Source organism: Homo sapiens, chromosome 6 (assembly GCF_000001405.40).
Source record: "Homo sapiens chromosome 6, GRCh38.p14 Primary Assembly".
Taxonomy (NCBI): domain Eukaryota; kingdom Metazoa; phylum Chordata; class Mammalia; order Primates; family Hominidae; genus Homo; species Homo sapiens.
In genome coordinates this window covers 64,928,023-64,950,861 of record NC_000006.12, presented here as the reverse complement: position 1 = coordinate 64,950,861, position 22,839 = coordinate 64,928,023, and the positions used below count along the sequence as shown (strand labels likewise).

The 22,839-nt window shown below is 31.8% G+C and overlaps 1 protein-coding gene across 2 annotated transcripts in view; it reads left to right on the top strand.

Annotated features, from left to right (window-relative positions):
- Positions 1-22,839, top strand: part of EYS (eyes shut homolog) — a 1,987,247-nt gene that overhangs the window by 756,365 nt on the left and 1,208,043 nt on the right. For both annotated transcript variants that reach the window (NM_001142800.2, NM_001292009.2), the window contains exon 15: positions 4,948-5,069. In NM_001142800.2, the coding sequence (NP_001136272.1) occupies positions 4,948-5,069 (122 nt within the window). The remainder of the gene's footprint in view (positions 1-4,947; positions 5,070-22,839) is intronic.

Here is a 22,839-nt window from a genome sequence, read left to right as displayed (position 1 = left end):
TTCAGTTGTTCTTGTAACAATTCAACAATATATATATATATATATATATATATATATATATATGTATATGTATATGTGTATATATTTTTTATTCAGTTTCTACATTTGTTTTTGATAAACTGATGTTTGGCAGGGTTTTTTTAAATCATTTTGTAGGTAGTTGTTGTTAATGTAAGTACATTCCCATTTTGTTTTCATTTGCTAAAAGAAATTTTTAGAATGTGTATTGAATTTTATAAAATATTTTTCTGCTCTGAAATGATAAAACCATTTTTCTTTCTCTAAAAGATTTTCTTGTGTTGAGGCATATTTCCATTTCTGGCATATTTCCAGCTCAAACTATATAATGTATTTTAAATACATTACTGTTTTCGACTATCTAAATTTATGTTTTTTTGAAAAAAATTGACTTTTTGATCCTAAAAACATTGGCTAAATTTCTATTTGTTGTTATATGCTTGCTAGAATTTGGTAGCTAGGTTTTGATAGTCTCAAAAAATAATTTGAGTAGTTTTTCCTGTTTTTCTATTCTCTTCACCTATGTGGCATAAGAGAATAAATAAAGACTTGGGAGTAATTTTGTTTGAGTCTATGTTAGCAAATCTCCCTCCTTTGGTATATTTTTAAATGTCTACTGGTTTAGTGTGATTTTCTATTTCATCTTGAATACATTTTCCTCATTTATATTTTCTTATATTAATCCACTTCATGTAAGTCTGTGTTCATAAATTACATATTGCTGGATTCTCTTGCTCTTCCTCCTTCTTTGTTTTTCCTAGTCTGGTTATCTCTTATTACATGGCTTAAATGTTTATAAAAATAAGTAATGTATTGATGAATAGGTTTGAGCCAATCGTGGTACTTCTGTCAATTATTCTTTGACGTTGTTAGATCTAGACTGTTTTGCCTAGAGGTAATGGCTACTACTAATTAATGATAATTATTTGTCGCTAGGCTAAGAATATTATAGTTATTACTACCTTCAAGGCTTAAGTATATTTATGAAGTATAAATTGTTAGTACTTTACATATGAAGGCACCTGAGGCTTGGAGAACTTGAGTAGGTTACTTGGAAAGATTAAGTAGATTAGTAGATATTAAAGGCAAAATTTTAAGATGATCCTCGAGATTCCCATCTCCTGGTGTATATGCCCTGTAAAATCTCCCCTTGGGTGTGAGTGAAACCTGTAAATATGATACTTCTTCCATGATTATATTATATGTAGAAAGAGATTTTACAGTGTTATTAACACCCCCAATAAGTGACTTTTATTTAATCAAACATGTGGTTGTCCTACATGGGCTGCCCTAATTAAATGGGCCTTTAACAAAACAAGAGGTAACAGCAGAGATTCTCCTGTTGTCCTTAAAAAAACAAACTGGCATGCTGTGAGAGGAGGAGGCCATGTGTCAAGGACCTGCAAATACCTTCTAAACGCTGAGAGTAGTCTTTACCTGGTAGCTAGCAAGAAAATGAGATCTGAGTCCTAGAGGCAGAATGAAATGAATTCTGCTACAATCATTGAACTTGGAAGAGAACTCCATTTCCTAGGTGAGATCACATCCCAGTCAATACCTTGATTTCAGCATGGTGAGACCGAAAGCAAAGGATTTAGGTGACTGACTCTTGTACACTGACTTATTGAAACTGTGAGACAATACATTTATGTTGTTTTAAGACACGAAACTTGTAGTAATCTTTTAGGCAGTAAGAGAAAACTAATATACTAGATGTCTAGAGATTTAATAAGCATCAGAGATATTGTTTAATCTCTCTAACTTGAAAATTCATGTTCACAATTATGCTATCCATCTTACTTTAGTACATCTGTTACTGATAAGAAAAATTTAAAATATCTGGCTGTTGATCTGAAAAAGTGAACTACTATATAGTTTATGCATTTACAACTATCAAACTTGACAGCTTTGTCTTTATTTTTTTCTCACTGGCTGCAGAGTTCAATATTGTAGACCTGTGTTTTTATCATCTGTCTTTCCTGTCACATGCATATTTTCAAACTACTGTTTTATCCAAGTTTAGTAGGAAGAGTAATGTCTACTTTGTAGTGAGAAGTTAAAAAATGATAAGATTCTAATTTAATAAATAATGTAAACCTTTACTCCTTTTGGTAAACACATTTTAATAATACTTTCCTTTTCCATCAAAATTGGCTGAAAATGTGCTTTTAAAAATAGTATTTTACTTTAATACTATTTAATACTATTTAATACTAGTATTTACTATTATTTAATATTATTTAATATTTAATAATTACTTAATATTTAATATTAAAATATTAAATATTAATATTAATTATATTTCAGTTTTCTAGTGGAATATAATTTCTATTTTTATAATTAATATTAAAATATTTAATAGTTATTAATATTTAATATTTAATAATATTAAATACAATATTTAATATTATTTAATACTATTCTGGCCACTGTATTGACCAGTGCAAATTTAAGGAACAGTTATTTTAAATTACTGGAATCAATTATTCAATGTTGAATGAGAAACTGCTTTGCAGCAAGAATGTCTAAATTGAGGAAAATGCTTTTGAATCAAGTAAGATACTGATGAATAAAAATTCTCAAACTCTGGGTTATTTTTAGTTGCTATGCACTTTTGTTCTCTTCATCATTTACATCTTTAAATTTTAATTTTTTAAATTATATTTTCTTCATCCTTTTATGTTTTCTTTTTGTATATAGTTCATCATATCTGGAATTCACTGCTATAGTACCTGATACTTTAATGATAATGATACCCTGAAATTGACAATTTTCTACTAATTATCAAGTTATTGAAAATACCAATAGTTATTAGCTTTTAAGAAATATATGAATTTAATAGGAAAAATTTGACTGAATTTTTGACTCACTAAATTTGTTTCAAAATATTATTGAGGCATCAAAATAAAAATCAGCAGTGTGCTTATGCATTTGTCTTTACATAAATAATTTATACCCCATAATATGAGAAATTTCAGAACATAACGAATGGGCATGTCCCGAAGATTTTATGCATATGCCATTTATGCTACTGAGTGGGATGATTTTCTCCCATTCACCACAGCTGATGTTGTCTTGACTATTGTGGAATTGCTTTCATTTTAAATAGCACATTCATAAAACAAAATATAATCATTATATTCAATTTTTATGTAAGTCCTCTTTTAATGTTTACAAAAAAAAAAAAAAAGAAAAAATAAGCCAAACGCAACCAATGAAAACTGTAAATGTTACCACACTCATGGAGGAAGTTAACAATGTAGGGAGCATGGTATGTGAAAAAAAAATCTGCTAAAATCCAGCAAAACTGGAGTACCCTTAAAGATTATTCTGAGTGGAGACTAGTATATGTGTCAAGAATAAAGCACAATGTTGAAAAGGTGGCTCTCATTCTTGTGCTTTTAAGCTAGTTATTAATACCTAGCATGGAAAACCAATTGGCCCTGTTCAACCAAAGCACAGTACTGAGTAGAACTTCTTATACATTTAAACTGTTGTAAACTAAATGCACATACATGGAGCATGCATTTATTTTTCTTCTGGTTATCATGTTTCATTGTTATGTTTGTAAAAAAAATTTGCTGTCCAAATGTACCAAAGTGATGAAGGATCATTTTGAATTTTGTTTTGGCTACTAACTTCAACCTTTAAATTATTGGTCATATCATGTTTGTTTTTTCTGTTTATTTAATCAACATTAATTAAACATAGGGTGCTAGATCTGTACAGGATGTTGAGATGTATTAAACTAAGATGCGTTCTGTAATCTCAGGGCTCCTACTCATCACATTGTGCTTATAAGTATATAGACTTCTTAACTCTATCCACAAATGGAGAAACTGGGCTGGCATTATCTAACTCAACTCTCACCTCTGTTCAGTAGAAATTAAAAGAGATCTCTGTTTGTGTTTTAACTTTTCTAGTAGCCACTACAAAAAGCTATGGAAATAAATGAAATTAATTGAAATCGTACGTTTCATTTAACTCTTTATATCAAAATTATTTCCATTTCAACCGAAAGTAAATAATAAAAAATTTTAGTGAGATACTTGGCATTCCTTTTTTAATACTAACTTTTCAACATTCAATATGTATTTTATATTTATAGCACATCTTAAATGGTACTAGCCATGTTTCAATGTTTTATAGCCACATGTGGCTACTGTATTGAAAAGTGCAGATTTAAATAACAGTTAACATTGATTTTACCGTTTTTATAATGCTATATCTAGATTCTCTACAGACAAAAGCCCAAAATCTAATTTTGACAAGAGCTCTATTCTTCAAAAATATTTTTCATATAGAAAGTATTTTCACAGAGTAATTTAAAGTGTTTCTTTTGTTTGTTTGTTTGCCCAATACTAGGAAAGCAAAATTTTACCTCTAGCATTCTGAATTACATTGTCATAGGGCAACTCTCTGTTTCAGAAAAACACCATGAAAAGTTTTACGATTTTAATTGACCAAAAGTCTGTTAATTTATTTTAAATATTTATCTGTAACAATAAATCTGTCAAAAGTTTCCTTATTTATACTTGTATTTTTAACTTGTGAGCTAGTTGCTGAGTTGTTTAATTAGTTATTTAGTTATACTCCATCATCTACCATCATATGACTAACATGCTATTTTTCTTTTAAAACATTTAACAAAGATGATAATTCTACATTGTGAGCATAATGCATAAATCTTTAATACCTTCTGTAGAATCTATTGACTTACTACAAAACTTTATTTAATTAGATACTAAAGAATACTGTTCACACGCTTTTAAAAATGTGGTAAAAGTCATTTGGGGGGAGTATTGGCATTCTATAAAACTAAAAAAATTATAAATTGACAGAGATATCAAAATGGCCAGGAGTAATATCTGTATTATAGGCTTAATAGTAAGAAATAGCCTAAAAATATATAATTTCATATTCTCTTAGAGCTACCAGTGTGTGTGCCTATCTGATTGGGAAGGAAATTTTTGTGAACAAGAATCCAATGAGTGTAAAATGAATCCTTGCAAGAACAATTCCACCTGTACTGACCTTTACAAAAGCTATCGGTGAGTAACATATTTTTAGCTTTCTTCATGAAATTACTTGGAGTGCTCAGTGTCCTTGGGATACATCCAGACATTATTTTCACTTTAGATACATTTAATTAAAATAACCATCCAGCAATGAAGAGCCATTTACTGACAAGATGGTGTCGCAATCATTTGAAATTTGAAAACACTGAAGGGCAGATGTCAACAAAGTATAAACAAATTTTAACTTGAAAATGCAATGTTCCAATATGGTAATGATACAAATGCATTTACTTCTTCAAAACATGTTTTTGCCATCTTAACATTGTTTTGGACCTTTCCATGCAGTATGAGAACTACCACACTCTGACAAGAAAGGAGTGAGTCCGCTAAATTAAAACTTCCAATTTTTTACTTAGAGATTATTGTGATTTTGGATTATTTTAGTAAAATTTTTGATATATTTTATAGTATAAATTTTCCACATATTCCATAATTCAATTGTATTAATTAGTTCTTAGATGAGAATTCTGAAGAAACTCCAAATAGAAATTCTGAGTAGGTGTTTATGTATTATGCCCACCTTTTAATGGAGTTGTTTTTTGCTTGTTGAATAAGTTCCTTATAGATTCAGCATATCACACCTTTATTGGATGCATAGATCGTGACTATTTTTCCCATTCTTTTTTTTTTTTTTTTTTTTTAATAGAGAAACAACAGTGGGCCCAGGGGACCGGCACTCAGCATACCAAGGACCTGCACCGGCCTCTGAGTTCCCTCAGCTTTTATTGATTATTATCTTCATTATTTCAGCAAAAAGGAATGTAGTAGGAGGGCAGGGTGATAATAAGGAGAAGGTCAGCAACAAATATGTGAACAATAGAATCTATGTCATAATTAAGTTCAAGGGAAGGTACTATGACTGGACATGCACATAAGCCAGATTTATGTTTCTCTCCACCCAAACATGTCAGTGGAGTAAAGAATAACAAGGCAGCATTGCTGCAAACATGTCTCGCCTCCCACCATAGGGCGGTTTTTCTCTGATCTCAGAATTGAACAAATGTACAATCGGGTTTTATACCGAGACATTCAGTTCCCAGGGACAGGCAGGAGACAGTGGCCTTCCTCTATCTCAGCTGCAAGATGCTTTCCTCTTTTACTAATCCTCCTCAGCACAGACCCTTTAAGGGTGTTGGGCTGGGGGACGGTCAGGTCTTTCTCATCCCAGGAGGCCATATTTCAGACTATCATATGGGGAGAAACCTTGGACAATACCCCGCTTTCAAGGGCAGAGGTCCCTACGGCTTTCCACAGTGCATTGTGCCCCTGGTTTCAGACTATATTTCAGACTATCACATTGGGAGAATACTCCACTTTATTTTTCCCATTCTGTCAGTTGTCTGTTTACTCTGTTGATAGTTTCCTTTGCTATGCAGAAGCTCTTTAGCTTAATCTTACTTGTCAATTTTTGGTTTTGTTGTAGTTGCTTTTGTGGACTCACTCATAAATTATTTATCAAGGCTGATGTCCAGAATGGTGTTTTCTAGGTTTTCTTTTAGGATTCTTATAGTCAGAGGTCTTATATTTATATATTTAGTCCATCCTGGGTTACTTTTCTGTGTATAGTAAAAGGTAAGGGTCCAGTTTCAGTCCTCTGCATATGGACAGCCAATTTTCCCAGCACCATTTATTGAATAGGGGGTCCTTCCCTTATTGCTTATTTTTGTTGATTTATCAAATATTAAATGGCTGTCAGTATGTTGCTTTATTTCTGGTTTTGCTATTCTGTTCCACTGATCTGTGTGTCTGTTATTGTTGTTGTTTTACCAGTGCAATGCTGCCATGCTGTTTTTGGTTACTGTAGACTTACGTATAGTTTGAAGTCAGGTAACATGATGCCTCCATCTTTTTTTATTTCCTCTCTAAGATTGCTTTAGTTATTCAATCTCTTTCTTCACTCTACGTACATTTTAGTATAGTTTTTCTCTAATTCTGTGAAAAATGACATTCGTAGGTTGATACGTTGAATCTGTGCATGCTTTGGGCATTATGTCCATTTTAATGATATGGATTCTTCCAAGCCATGAACACGGGGTATTTTTTCATTTGTTTGTGTCATTACTGATTGCTTTTAGCAGTGTTTTGTAGTTCTCCTTGTACAGATCTTTCACATCCTTGATTAGATGTATTCCTTGCTTTTTTGTTTGTTTGTTTGTTTTTTGTTTTTGGTGTGTGTGCTATTGTAAATGAGATTTCATATTGTAAATGGATTCTGGATTTGGCTCTCAGCTTGAATGTTATTGGTGCATAGAAATGTTACTGATTTGTATACATCGATTTTGTGTCCTGAAACTTTGAGCCTTTTGGTGGAGTCTTCAGCATCTTCTAGGTGTAGAATCATATCACCAGTAAGGAGAGATAGTTTGACTTATTTTGTTCCTTTTTGGATACCTTTTATTTATTTCTCTTGCCTGATAGCTCTGGCTCGGACTTCCGGTACTGTGTTGAATAGAAGTTGTGAGGCTGGGCTTGTTCCAGTCCTCCAGGGGAATGCTTGTAGACTTTGCCCATTTAGTATGATGTTGGCTGTGGGTTTACCATAGATGGCTCTTATTATTTTGAGATATGTTTCTTAGATACCTAGTCTATTTAGGATTTTTAGCATGATGTTGAATTTCATAGCAGAATTTTCCACTTCTATTGGGATCATCATGTGTTTTTTGTTTTTAATTCTGTTTATGCAGTGAATCACATTTATTGATTTGTGTTTGGTGAAACAGTTTCATCCCAGGAATGAAGCTTAGTTGGAGAATTAACTTTTTGATGTGCTGCCATATTAGGCTTCCTAGTATTTTGTTGAGGGTCATAAGGTGTATTGGCCTGTAGTTTTCTTTTTGTGTTGTATCTTTTCCAGGTTTTGGTATCTCGATAATACTGGTTCATAGAGTGAATTAGGGAGGAGTTCCTTCGACTTCATTTTTGTTTTTTTTTTTTTTTTGGAAGAGTTACAGTAGAATGGGTACCAGCTTTTCTTTTTACATCTAGTAAAATTTGGCGTGAATCCATCTGGTCTGGGGCTTTATTTAGTTGGTAGGTTGTTTTTTTAAAATTACTGATTCAATTTCAAAACTTGGTGTTTTCAGGATTTCAATTTTTTTCTCATTCAATCTTGAGAGGTGGTGTGTTACCAGGTATTTACCCATTTCCTTTAGATTTTCTAGTTTATGTGTATGGAGGTGTTCATAAGGGTCTCTCAGAATCATTCTACTTCTGTGAGATCAGTTGTAATGTCACCTTTGTCATCTCTGACTGTACTTATTTGGATCTTCTGTCGTTTTTTCTTTGTTAATGTAGACAGTGGTTTATCAATCTTGTTTATGCTTTCAAAAAACCAACTTCTGGTTAAGTTGATTATTTCCCTGGATTTTGGGGTCTTAATTTTGTTCAGTTCTGCTCTGATTTTAGTTCTTTTCTTTTGCTAGGTTTGGAATTAGTTTGCTCTTATGTTTCTGGTTTTCCAAGTATGATATTGGATCATTAGTTTGATATCTTTCTGACATTTTGAGATACGCATTTAACAAGTGCCCCATAAACATATGAAAAAAATGCTCAACATCATTAATCAGAGAAATCCAAATCAAAACCGCAATGAGACAACATCTCACACACATCAGCATTGTTATTATTAAAAAGTTAAAAAACCAACAGATGCTGATAAGGCATTGGAGAAAAGAGAACGTTTAAACACTGTTGTTGGGATATAAATTAGTTCAGCTACTGTGGAGAGCAGTTTGGAGATTTCTCAAAAACTTAACATAGAACTACCATTTCACCCACCAATCCCATTACTGGGCTTATATCCAAAAGTAAATAAATCATTCTACCAAAAAGATACATGCACTCATGTAGTCATCTCAGCGCTACTCACCATAGCAAAGACATAGAACTAACCTAGGTTCCCATCAACATGGGATTGCATAAAGAAAATGTGGTTCATATACACCATGGACTACTATGCAGCCATGAAGAAGAACAAAGTCATGTTCTTTGCAGCAACATGGATGTAGCTTGAGGCCATTATTCTAGGTGAATTAATACAGAAACATAAAACCAAATATCATATGTTCTCACTTATAAGTGGAAGCTAAACACTGGGTACTCGTGGACATAAAGAGGGCAGTAATAAACACTGGGGAATTCTAGAGTGGGAAGGGAAGGAGGTAAGTATGGGTTGAAAAACTGACTGTTGGATACTATGCTCACTACCTGGGTGATGGGATCATTTGTACCCCAAACTCCAGCATCATGCAGTATATCCATGTAACAGTTGCACATGTACTCCCTAAATCTAAAATGATGCATACACATGAAAAAGAAATTCTTAGTAGCTATTGCTATTATTCCAAAAGCTTAATAACCACGTATATATTTGTAAATTTTTTTTTTGAGGCAGACTCTCACTCTGTTTTCCAGGCTGGAGTGCAGTGGCATGATCTTGGCTCACTGCAACCTCCACCTCCTGGGTTCAAGTAATTCTCCTGCCTCAGCCTCCGAGTAGCTAGGATTACAGGTGCCTGACACCATGCCTGGATAATTTTTGTATTTGTAGTAGAGATGGAGTTTCACCATGTTAGCCAGGCTGGTCTCGAACTCCTGATCTCAAGTGACCTGCCCGCCTCAGCCTCCCAAAGTGCTCAGATTATAGGCATGAGCCACCATGCCCTGCCCTTGGTAAATAATTTTTAATCCTAGATTTGTTTGGCATACATTGCATCTCTTATGTAGATGCATAATCAAGTATATCATAACTAAATCCTTTTCTTGTTCAGAAGCAGATGAATTGCATACAAACACACTCAGATGATTATTTTACAAAGGAAAATGTTAAAATTATTTCAGAATGTCCTCCAAAATAAATCATACATTCTCTTTTGCCTTGTGATTAAGGTTGAGAATTCTGGATTATCTCATGCCTGTAAAACTTTTCACAAATGTTTCTAATTTTTTGGTGATTAAAGTGGGTTATAAGGTGCAGACTGTTCAACAGTAGGCAGTTTGCTTTATTAAATTGAATTCCACAATAGCTGGCAATAATGGCATAGATACTATGTGACAAAAAAAAGATAAATAAATAATTTTGGTAATATAGGAAAACTCACAATGCCAGTAGTTAGGATTAGTTAAAGATATATAAAAATAAAAAGACCCAGAGACATTTTTGTGACATTAGCAATTAGTAAGTTGATGTATGAACACAAATTGATATTAATAACCTTTCCACCTGTATATTAGGAGAAATAATAAACTTTTGATGAACTAAAAACATAATATTAATTGTTATCTGTTTTATTTTTCTTACATTAATTAATTATAACCTATAATATGTACTATAAATTTTCTAGTATTTCTTTCATTGAGACTCTGATATATCCTTTTTTTGGCATTTAGCTCTTCCTATAATTTCTTAAGATAACTTGTATATGCGTTTCTGTATGTGTGTGTTGATGCTGTTGGCAGTCACCAGACAAACACCACTGGGAACACACCTAGGGTTGCAAAAGTTGGGTTTATAACTCATTGCAACAAGGGAGAAAACACATCATGTAGATCCACAGGGATATCTAAATAAAAGGATGTTAGAAAGGACTTACCGACTTGAGCTTGCTACTTGTATTTTGGGGGATGGTTTCAAAGAGTGGGTCTTTGCTCTGGATAAGTTGTCAAGAAGGGAGCAGAATTTTATTATTAGGTTTATGGTAAGTCTTACCTAGGAGGATGGAGGAAAAGACAAGAAAGAAGTGAAAGCCAATGTTTTCAAAAGAGGTAGCAATTACTTATATTAGCCATGACAGGGGATTGTTTTGTTAGTCTTTTGTTTGGGTGATGTTCCTGGTTTTGTCTCTATTTGATATGATTATAAGTTAGCCTAGTTTTTGTGATCTCTCATTTGCATAGATTAGCCATGTCTGATACTGATGTTCTATGAAATTGTTGAAATGGTCATCAGAAGAACACTTACACCTAGCTCTAAACCTGCTTTATACTATATGGCTAGCTCCTGAATATCCTGGCTATCAGAAGCTACTTTGCTCCTTCCCAAAACAATGTCTTATACATATGAGTTAAATACACGTGTGTATGTGTGTGTGTGTGTGTGTATGAAATACATCACTTATGTTTGTCCACCTATTGGTTCAAAATATTCTTATATATCCCAACAAAATGAGAGGACTCAAATATTAATTTATTGTCCAACATGGTATTAATTTTATTTAAATAAAAGTATCGCATTTGATATAGACGTCATAAAAATTGAAAACAAAATAAGCAACATCTACAAGGCTTAATTCAAAATACTTTAATATTCATGATACATAATCAGTCTTTCTAGATAACCCTGACATGGCTTATTGTGAACTCCTAGTGATTTAAATGTATAAATGTTTCAGGAGATTTTGTTACCTAAATTAAGACAAACTCTTAGTCATTTCATCATTCCTAAGATTTTTGATATATTATTTGCTTTATTTATTTTCATATTTCAGATATTTGTTGCATTTTATCTGGCTATAAAATTTAAAGTTTAGCTGAATCAGATTTTCTGAATGTGCTTCTCCTTTGTGATTATAAAGATAATGTATTAATATGAACATTATATTCATATTGGCTTTTCTAGATTGTAAAGAGAAAAGAGCAGTCACTAAATATGCTATATTAATGAGATGAGCATAATGTATGTATTCCATATGTTGCATATAAATAGGATGACTTACAACTTAGGAATTTCCTTACCTAGTTATCTTTCTAAATAATAATTTTATTGAGACATAATTAACACACCATACAATTCACCTTTTTAGGTGTACAATTCAGTACAATAGTCCCCCTTTACTATTCCAAGGGAGATATGTTCCAAGACCCCCAGTGGATGTCTGAAAATCAAAGATAGCACCGAACTCTATACAGGGTTACACATATCCCTTAACTTACAATAGGGTTATTTTTCTGATAAACCCATTGTATATTGACAAAAATTGTAAGTTGGAAATGTACTTGTAAGTATTTAATATACTTACTGAATATCATAGCTTATCCTAGCCTCCCTTAAACATGCTCAGAACCTACATTAACTTACCGGTGGAGAAAAACACAATTCCTATTTTATAATAAATTATTGAATATCTCATGTAATTTATTGAATACTCCACTGAAAGCAAAAAAACATAATTGTTGTAAGCGTACTTGAAGTGTAGTTTCTACTTAATGTAAATTGCTTTTATCCCATTGTAAAGACAAGACATCACGTCAAACCAGTTGGGGACCATCTATATATAAATTATGTATTTTTCTATATATAACTATGGTGAAGTTTAAATATAAGTTAGGCACATTAAGAGATTAACAACAATAACTACTAATTAAATAGAAAAATCATAACATACTGTAATAAAAGTGTGTCAATGTGGTCTCTCTCTCTCTCTCTCTCTCAAAATATCTTATTATACTATATTCATCTATTTTTAGAGCATGGTTGACTGCTGGTAACTGAAACCAGAAAGCAAAACCATGGAAAAGGAGAGAACTACTATAGATTTAGTAGATTCGTAGAGAAGTACAAGGATCACCACTATCTAATGTTAGAATACTTTTATTATTCCAAAGGAACTCATACCATTACCATAGCCTCTCCCCATTTCCTTCTTCCCCCTTGAAATAAATAAAGTCCCCCTAATCGACTTTCTATCTCTAGGATTTGTCTGTTCTGGACATTTCATATAAATGGAATCATGCAATATATGTTTTTTGGTGACTGGTTTGTTTGACTTAGCATAATATTTTCAAGACTTATGTCATAGCAGTTATAAGGACTTTGTTTCTTTTTTATGGCCAGATAACATTACATCATAAAGTTACAGCAAATTTGTTTATTTTTCAGCTGATAAACATGTTGATTATTACAACTTTTTGACTATTATGAATAACGCTGCTATAAACATGTGCAATACATGTCCAGACATATATTTTCAATTATTTTTCATATAAAACTAGAGTAGAATTGCTGGATCATAGAGTAACTCTGTGCTTAACTTTTAGAGGAACTTCCAAACTCTTTTCCAAAGTGAATGTATAATTTTTGCAGTACCACCAGCAGTGTATGAGAGTGTCAACTTCTCCACATCTTGCCAATATTTGTTGATGTTTGTCTTTTTAACCCTTCTAGTAGGTGTGAAATGGTATTTCAATGCACATTTGATTTTCATCTCCCTAAGGACTAATAATACAGCTCATCTTAACATGTGCTTTCTGACCTCGTGTATCTCTTTTTGGGAGAATATCTCCTCATATCATTTGCTCATTTGGGAATGGAAGTTATGTACCTTTTATCTTAGTTGTAAGAAATTTTATATATTTTGGATACAAGCCAATTATCAAATATGATTTGCAAATATTTTCTTCCATTATGTGAGTTATCTTTTTCTTCATGGTGTCCTTTCAGGCACAAACAATTTTAATTTTGAGGACAACCAATTGACTCATTTTCTTTTGCCACTTTTGCTTTTCATATCATAGCTAAGAAATTGTTGTCTAACTGAAGATTACAATAATTTTATTTCTGTATTTTCTTCTATAAACTTTATATTTTTAGCTCTTATATTGAGATATAATCCATTTTGAGTTAGTTAATTTTTATGTGTGTGGTGTGAGGTAAAGGTCTAGCCTCATTCTTCTACACATGAATATCCAGTTGTCTCAGGATAATTTCTTAAAAATACTATTCTTTCCATATTAAATTATCTTGGTAACTTTAACATGAATTAGACAAACTTGTAAGGATTTCTAGACCCTCTATTCTATTTATCTTTATTCTAATACCACACCCTCTTATTGTAGCTTTTGGTAAGTTTGAAGTCAGGAAATATGAATCCAACTTATTTTTTTGTTCCATCATTGTTTTGCTAAACTGGGATCCTTGTACTTCCATATGAATTTTAGTATCAGCTTGTTACTTTCTGAAGAAAATGGCAGCCATAACTTTAATAGAGATTTTATTGAATCTTCTTTAATTTCTTTCAATAATATTTTATTGTTTCCTATGTATACTTGTACTTCTTAGAATCTATTCTTAAGAATTTGAATCTTTTTATGTTATTAGAAATGGAATTGTCTTCATGCCATTTTCAGATTGTTCTTTGCTAGTGTATAGAGACAGCACTGATTTTTGTATATTGATGATGTATTTTTCAACATCAGTAAACTTATTTATTAGTTATAATAATTTTTGGTCGATTCCTTAGGATTTTTAATATCTGATAATGGAGACAATTTTGCTCCTACCTGTCCAATATTGATACGTTTTTTTCTGTTTTATGTTTAATTATCCCAACAACTTCCAGTACAATGTTGAACTTAGAAATGACAGACTAAATATGCTTGTCTTGTTCCTGAGCTTAAAAGAAAATCAAGCAGTCTTTCACCATAAAGTATGATGTTAGCTGTAGATTTTTCATGGGACACTTTACCAGATTTTGGACATTCCCTCCTGTTTCTGGTTTGTTGAGTGTTTTTTTTGTTTTGTTTTTTATAAAATGTGTTGAATGTTTTCAAATGCTGTCAATGAAGCTGTTTATATGTGTAATTTGTCTTATATTCTATTAATATTGTATATTGCATTTAGTGGTTTTCTATTTTAAAACCAACCTTGCAGAACTAATATATGTCCCAATTGGTCATAATGTATATTTCTTTGTATATGTTGCTGAATTCCATTTGCTAGTACTTCATGAAGGAATTTGGGGTCTGTATTCCTAAGGCATATTGATCTGTATTTTTCTTTTTTTGTCATATCTTTGACTGGATTTAGACTGGGTAATATTAGCCACATAGAACATGTTAAGAATTTTCCCCTTCTCTTTTGGAACAGTTGCAGAAGGATTGGTGTTCATTATTCTGTAAACATTTGGTAAAGTCACTGGTAAAGCAATCTACTCATGTACTTATTTTGTGGAACACATTTTTATTACTAAATCTCTTTGCTTATTGTAAGTTTATTGATATGCTATACTTTTTTTGGGTTACTTTCCGTGGTTTTACCTTTCTGTAAAGTTATCTATTTCATTTAGCCTTTATAATTGGTTAGCGTGTAATTGTTTAGTATTCTCTTTGAATCCTTTTTTGTTTTTGGAAGAGTGTAGTATTTTCTTCTCTTTCATTTCTGATTCTTGTAATCTGGGTCTTCTCTGTTTTTTCTTGATCATTCTAGTTAATGGTTTTTCAGTTTTGGAAAGTACCAGTTTTAGATTTCATTGTGTTATTCTATTGCTTTTTTATTCTCTGCTTTATTAATTTATGCTTTAATTTTCATTATGTTCTCCTTCCTTTTGCTATGAATTTAGTTTTCACTATTGAATACAAAGTATAACTATTACAAATAGCATATAGTTGAACAATTTTTTCATTAAGCACATTCTGCCATTATTTGTCTTTTGATTGGAATGTTCACTCAATTTGCACTTACTGTAATTACTGATAAGGTAGAGTTTACTTCTGCTATTATGCCATTTGTTTTCTATATGTCTTCTTCTCTTTTGCTGCTGCCTTCTTCCATTATTGCCTTACTTTGTGTTAAATAGATATTTTTTTCTGATATACCACTTTAACACCCTTGTTACATTTATTGTATTATTTAGAAAATTTTTAATGGTTGACCTATAGATTATAAGTAACCTCTTAAGATAAAGCAATTACACAGCATTAATAGCAACTTATTTTTAACACTGTGCAAAAATATTGCTCCACCATTGCTCCCCTTTTTTTACTCCCTTGTTTTATTATTGTGATACAAATTATATCTTATACATTATAAGCCCATCAACAAACTGTTATAATTATGGTTTTATGCTCCATCTTTTAAATCATATACAGAGAAAAGAGTTATGAACAAAACATATTTATACTGGTTTTAATATTTACTAATATAGTTACCATTACTGGATCTCATGATTTTTATGTGTGAATAATTAAGATTCTATAGTTTCTTTTCATTTTAACCTAAAGGACTATCATTACTATTCTTTATATGTTAGTCTGCTAGTTATGAAATCTTCCTGTTCTTGTTTATCTGAAAATGTCTTAGTTTCTGCTTTAATTTAGAAGGTAGCATTGTAGGATATAGAATTCATGGTTGATAGTCTTTTTTTTTCTTTTAGCACTTCAAATATATCATTCTGCTGCTTTCTTATCTACATGGTGGCTTCTGATGGGAAGTCAATTGTTATTCTTATGAGGATCCTTGTATGTAATAAATCACTTTCTTTCTTGATGCTATCACTATTATCTCTTTGTGTTTTACAGTTTGACTATCATGATTAACTTTCAATCTCTTTCAATTTATTCTACTTTGAGTTTGATGAGGTTCATGGATGTATAGATCAACATTTGTTCATAATATTCAGAAAGTTTTGGCCATTAATTTTTCAAAGCATTTATCTATCCCTTTTCCTTTTGGAACTCATATGTGAGTAGATCTCTGAGGATCTACTCATTTATTTATTTTTTTTCTGATGATCCTCAGACACAATTATCTTAATAAACTTATCTTTATGTTCACTACTTCTTTCTTCTGCCAAATTAAGTCTCTTGTTTTGCTCAGTTAGTAATTATTTTATTTTTTCCAATAACTTTTTTTTTTTAATATACTTTAAGTTCTGGGATACATGTACAGAATGTGCAGGTTTTTTACATAGGTCTACATGTGCCATACACATGCCATGGTGGTTTACTGCACCCATCAACCCATCATTTACATTAGGTATTTCTTCTAATGCTATCCCTCCACTATCCCCCTGACCCCCCAACAGGCCCTGGTGTGTGATGTTCCCCTCCCTGTGTGCTCATTGTTGAACTCCCACTTACGAGTGAGAACATGCAGTGTTTGGTTTTCTGTTCCTGTGTTGGTTTGCTGATAATGATGGTTTCCATTTTCATCCATGTCTCTGCAAAGGACATAAACTCATCCTTTTTTATAGCTGCAGAGTATTTCATGCTGTATATGTGCCACATTTTCCTTATCCAATCTATCATTGGTGGGCATTTGGATTGGTTCCAAGTCTTTGCTTTGTGAACAGTGTTGCAATAAACATACGTGTGGATGTGTTTTTATAGTAGAATGATTTATAATCCTTCAGGTATATACCCAGTAATGGGATTGCTGGCTCAAATGGTATTTTTAGTTCTAGATCCTTGAGGAATCGCCACACTGTCTTCCACAGTGGTGCAACTAATTTACACTCCCACCAACAGTGTAAAAGCATTCCTATTTCTCCACATCCTCTCCAGCATCTGTTGTTTACTGATTTTTAATGATTGCCATTCTAACTGGCGTGAAATGGTATCTCATTGTGGTTTTGATTTGCATTTCTCTAATGACCGGTGATGATAAGCTTTTTTTCATATGTTTGTTGGCCACATAAATGTCTCCTTTTGAGAAGTATCTGTTCCTATCCTTTGCCCACTTTTTGATGACGTTGTTTTTCTCTTTTACATTTGTTTTTCAGTTTTTATAATTTCCAACTCTGGAAATTCTATTTGTTTTTTAATTTTTTAATAATTGCTTCCTTTATTTTTATTACTGATTTGGTAAGACATCAATCTCCTACTTTCCTTAATTGATTATATAATAGTTTATATTTCCCTTTGAACAAGTTTACCATAGCTGACTTAATATATTTGTCAAGTAAATCCAATATTCGGGTGTCCTCAAAGGCAGTTTCTATTTACTGGTTTTATTTCTGTGCATGGCCCATACTTTTATTTCTTTGTATGTCTTATAATATTTTCTGGTAACTTGACATTTTAAATAGCATAACTTGGTACATCTGGAAATCAAATCTTGCTCTTTCCTAGTAGCTAGTGTTTTTGTTTTTGTTGTTTCTACTATTTGTCTAGTGTTTCACTGGGATTGTTCTTTACCATGTGTGGCCATTTTAGTCTCTGCTTGATTAACTTAGTGGTCAGCTAAAATGAATCATTTCACAGAGATTTTTCTTAGATTTTTGGAACTAAAACATCTTCCAGCCTTTACTAAAGGACTCTGTGTGTGTGTTGAGACATGTCTTCAATGCTCAGCCAGGCAGTTTACAACTGTACTTTATTCTTTACTTCCTGCTTGTATAGAGCCTCAAGGTTAGTCAGAGATCAGAGATTAGGGCTGTTTATATCTTTCTTAGGCCTGTTTATAGACTTGCATGCTGTGATGTTTTCTAGTTTTCCAGGATTTTTTCTAGCTTTCAAAGACTTCTAGGTACATCTAATTCCCGAGTTATTAAATCTTTGATTATATTGATCAACCTAGAGTTGCCCTCAACTGGAATTATTGCCTCAAACACTGTGATATTAAGCAATTGCCACTGATTATTTTTAACAAATTCCCTAGATATATGGTTTTTTATAAGAGTGAATTTTTAGTCAGGTCAAATAAAGTCAGTCCCTGAGAATGGAGTTTTTCAGAGTGCTGTCAAACCAATGAAATAGTGACATTCCTTGGGAAGGGTCTTTTGAGTCAAATGCATACCTGTACTATCCCCTCCCCCTCCACTGGCTATTAGGTTGCTGGTTTCTCAGCTACCATTATTGCAATGATATTGGATTTCAAGTCCATTGAAGAGCTGGGGAGAGAGGGATGGTTGTTTACAACCACGAAGCTGATTAGGCTTATGAGATTCAATCATTTTTCTTGAATAAACACGGAGATTGTTTCAAGCCTTTAGTTCATTTACACAGTTCTGAAACAGCTTATTTTAACTATATTTATCAATGTACAAGTTTCTTTTATGGAAGAGTGTATGTTTGACTAGTTCTTCCTCTGCTATTACAGAAATGATTCTATCAAGTTATATTTTATTTTCATCTTATTGGGGAGAAGGAGAATAAATATGGGTTCTACAATCACAGTGTCTGCAGTGTCTGCATATTAAGTTTGATTCTGTCTCTAAGGGTTTGTGTGAATTGGGATAAGTAAGTTTACATTACATTTGCAAGCTTCCAGTTTCCTTAGCTAGAAAGTAGAATCAACAATAGTAATGTCTCAGGGTTATGGTGATAAATAATATTCTGTCCACAAAGTTTTAGTTAACTTTTTTATATATAGTTCACTGTAAATATCATTAGTTTTTATTATTTAAAACATTGATCTTGTTTTCAAAAATATATGCATAGATAAGATTAGTGTGGCATCTTATAAATGATGAATCTTTTTAATCATCTGGATATCAACTAATTCCATTTTATATATTTATATGTACAACAAATGAAGAACACTAAAAAGAGATTATTTTGATCATCTCTTTATAATTTTGAAAAACTTTATTTGATTAAAGCTTAAGGTTCTTTGTAGCTTTCCCACAAATTTCCACTGATCAAAACTTTAAGGAGTCTCAGTGAAGGATACATGAATATCCTATTTAACTTTGTGAAGAGTTATTCTAATAAAATATTATAAACATTGTAAAGAAGAGTCTTAAATTTTATGCTATTTGAAGAAAATTATATACCATAATGAACACTTAAAATTGCATATTTTAATAGATCAAATTAGAATTGCATTTCATGGACCATATGCTTATATTCCTTGAGAAAAAAATTAGATAAATGAACGTCTGATGGAATATCAAATCTATTTAGCTGATTTGTGTGTCCTAAGTTACTGAACTACCTATATGTGCTCATCTCTCTAAACAACTGGAGTTAACATAGTTTAGTGTTTACACAGTTTCAAGACATTAAAAAGCAAATTGGGCTAGCGATGTAATTTGAATGCTGACTGCAACCTGCCTTCTGCTATTCCTGGCATGGTTTAAAATTTAACTGCCTTCTTTATTTCTGATTTTTCTTCCCCCAAAGCAGAGTCAACAGCTTTAGCTACAGATGGGGCTCTGTATGGCCATTATTGGACCCAGATGCCACACTCTGGAGCATGTTTTGCCAACAGCATCTGGCTCTTTGCTGCCTGTGCAGTTGGCATTTGTGTTGATGCTTTGGCCTGCTTTTCTTATGGACACTACAAAGCTGACTTTCAGACAACGTGAAGGTTTGCTCCCAGATGACTGTAAGCATTTTTTTCCTTAGTTTGTCTTTTATGAGTATTTAAATAAATACCTTAAATCATGAAGCACTATGCATTAAAATTTTCATCTCTTATAAAAATGTTTAAAAATTTTTAATGGATATAATAACTGAAAAAGTCTGACATTTAATAAGTTAAAAACTTGTGATTATTTATGTATATCTTAACACATCAAATAAAAACTATGAAAGTTTTAATGTGTTACCAGAGATATTGTTTTGCTTTTTTTTTTTTTTTTTTTTTACCTTATTTATGCATAGAAGTCCTAAGTGCTAATATAAAAGCAAAGCCATGACAAAATTTTAGTTCAGGCAATAGCAATCTATGGCACAATATCTATCTTTAAGAGTTAAAAGATTTTTCCTTCACAAAAACCGGAGGTTTGAACAAAATATGTGTGGGTAGGTAGATCACTCATCCTCTTATGGTATAGCTACACTGTAGTTTACAGATATAACAGACACAGGGAATTTTTAATATTTTACAATTATAATCTATTATTTGAGGAATTATATATGCCTCTGTATATATGTGTGCATGTTTATTTGTAGAATAAATTACTATAAGTGTAATTGCTGGATCAAAGTGTGTCTACATTAAATATTCGAGTAGTTTTTATCAAATTATCTTTTGGACAGATTCAGTAAATTCACACAAGTAATTAAAGCAATTATCTATAGCAGACACTTACAGTTTGTATCATTTTGTTCTTGAGCAAATCTCTTAGTCAGATTTTATTTATGTTTATTTTATATATGAAAGAACAAAAACTTAGATATTTTCCGTAACTTATGCAGAAATCACAGTGTTAAAAAGTAGTAAATCTAAATACCAGAACAAGACAGGTGTGACTCCACATCAATGGTTTGAGATCATCATCATCTGATCCTGCTTATAGTATATAATCATACATACGTTGCCAGTGGCAACATATGTTGATATGTATGATATCTCTCAGTTCCCAAGGTTTAACAAATTTGTGAAAGACTAAATAATTATTATTTTCTCACTGGAAAAGTTGGAACCTCATGTAGTTCAAATTTTATCAAAAAGGAGTAACTCAGGAGTTAAGTATACTTTCTTTGACAGATAAATACATCCTACCACCAATTATTGGTCAAATAATTATTGTACAAATAGGCCTTAGAACTAACTGATTAAGTAAAATTGCTTTTTGATAACAGTAGCACAAAGGAAGAAAAGGGGAAAGCACAGTATCTTGTTGTAAGGCTATTATGTTTTACAGGAAGTGGCATATTATTTGAAGACAGGCAGTGATAAACAGAAAAGGTATTAAAGACCTTATTTTGAATGAATAAATGAACTCTCTTATTTCACCAAAACTGAGTTGAAAGAATGGAGGAAGAGACAGTTTTATCAGGCATCATAGTAATTGTAAAAAGCTCCCTGTATACCTTCTGTATTACTTTGCCGGGACAATCTTTGGCATCCCTTGGCTTCTGAAGAATCACCCTCATCTCAGCCTTCAATTTTTGTAGTTTTCTTCCTGTGTGAGGGCCTATCTCTGTGTCAAAATTTCCCCCCTTTTTAAAAGACAGTGGTCCTATTGAATTAGTTTCCACCCTAATGGATTCACTTTCATTTGAATATCACTGTAAATACTCTATTTTCAAAAAAGGCCACATTTTGAGATCCTGGTGATTAGGACCTCAAGGTCTTTTGGGGAGATACAATTCAACCCCAACACCTTCTGATGTCTCCTGAGTGCAGTTATGAAAACATATCTTACGGTTATTGAAGCCCAGAAGATTATAATTTAGCATAGCCATACATAAAATCTTTAAATTTTATTCACAGAACTGCATAGAAACATATTCAAAGATAATTTTGCTTGTTTAGAGGTGTAGTTAGAAAAAAATCATTCCGTATTAGGTTATCTCATTATTTCACATAGAACCATAATACCAGGTTCAGATTAAAAGTGTTGCCTTATTATTTGTCAATTAAAAATAAACTAAAATTAAAAAAAAATGGACTTTTAAAAAGTACTATATCTAAGAATAGATTTTGCTTGTTTTCTTCTTTTTTAACATTTGTTTTTAAAGATGATGAATTGTTTTAATGCAAAGTACTAGAAACTGTAAAATTTAAGAAAAATGTAAAAACATAATACCATGAAACAAAACCAGAATGATGCAGACATATTCAGCAATGGCTCATTAGAAATGAATTGAAAGCCATTAGTTACTGTTTGTTTCAGATTCAATGTTGCATGGGAGGGCAATGACCATGACTATAACAAACACAAAATGTGAAATTTAGGATTATGGTATTTGTGAGTAAAATTATTTGTATTGAACTGTGGAAGAAAGGTAATCACATATGGAAATAAAGGAAAAATGTACATGAGAATATTATTTGCTGCAAAATCTGTATTTTCTTTTTTTGAAAGATAATCAAAATTTGATATTAAGTTCTTAAAAAAATGATATAATTAAGGTCCTGCATTTTTCTTATGTTTTGAAGTAGACTTTTTCCCTTACTCTTTCTTTTTATGGGGAAGGGGGAGGCAATGTTTTTAGAGAAATAGACTTTTCATAAGGTATTCAATAGCTTTTGGACATTTTTTATTGTGATTACACATAATAAAATGCAAAGATTTTACATATACAATTTAAGGAGTTTTGGCAATTGCACTTACTTGTGTAACTACCACTGAAC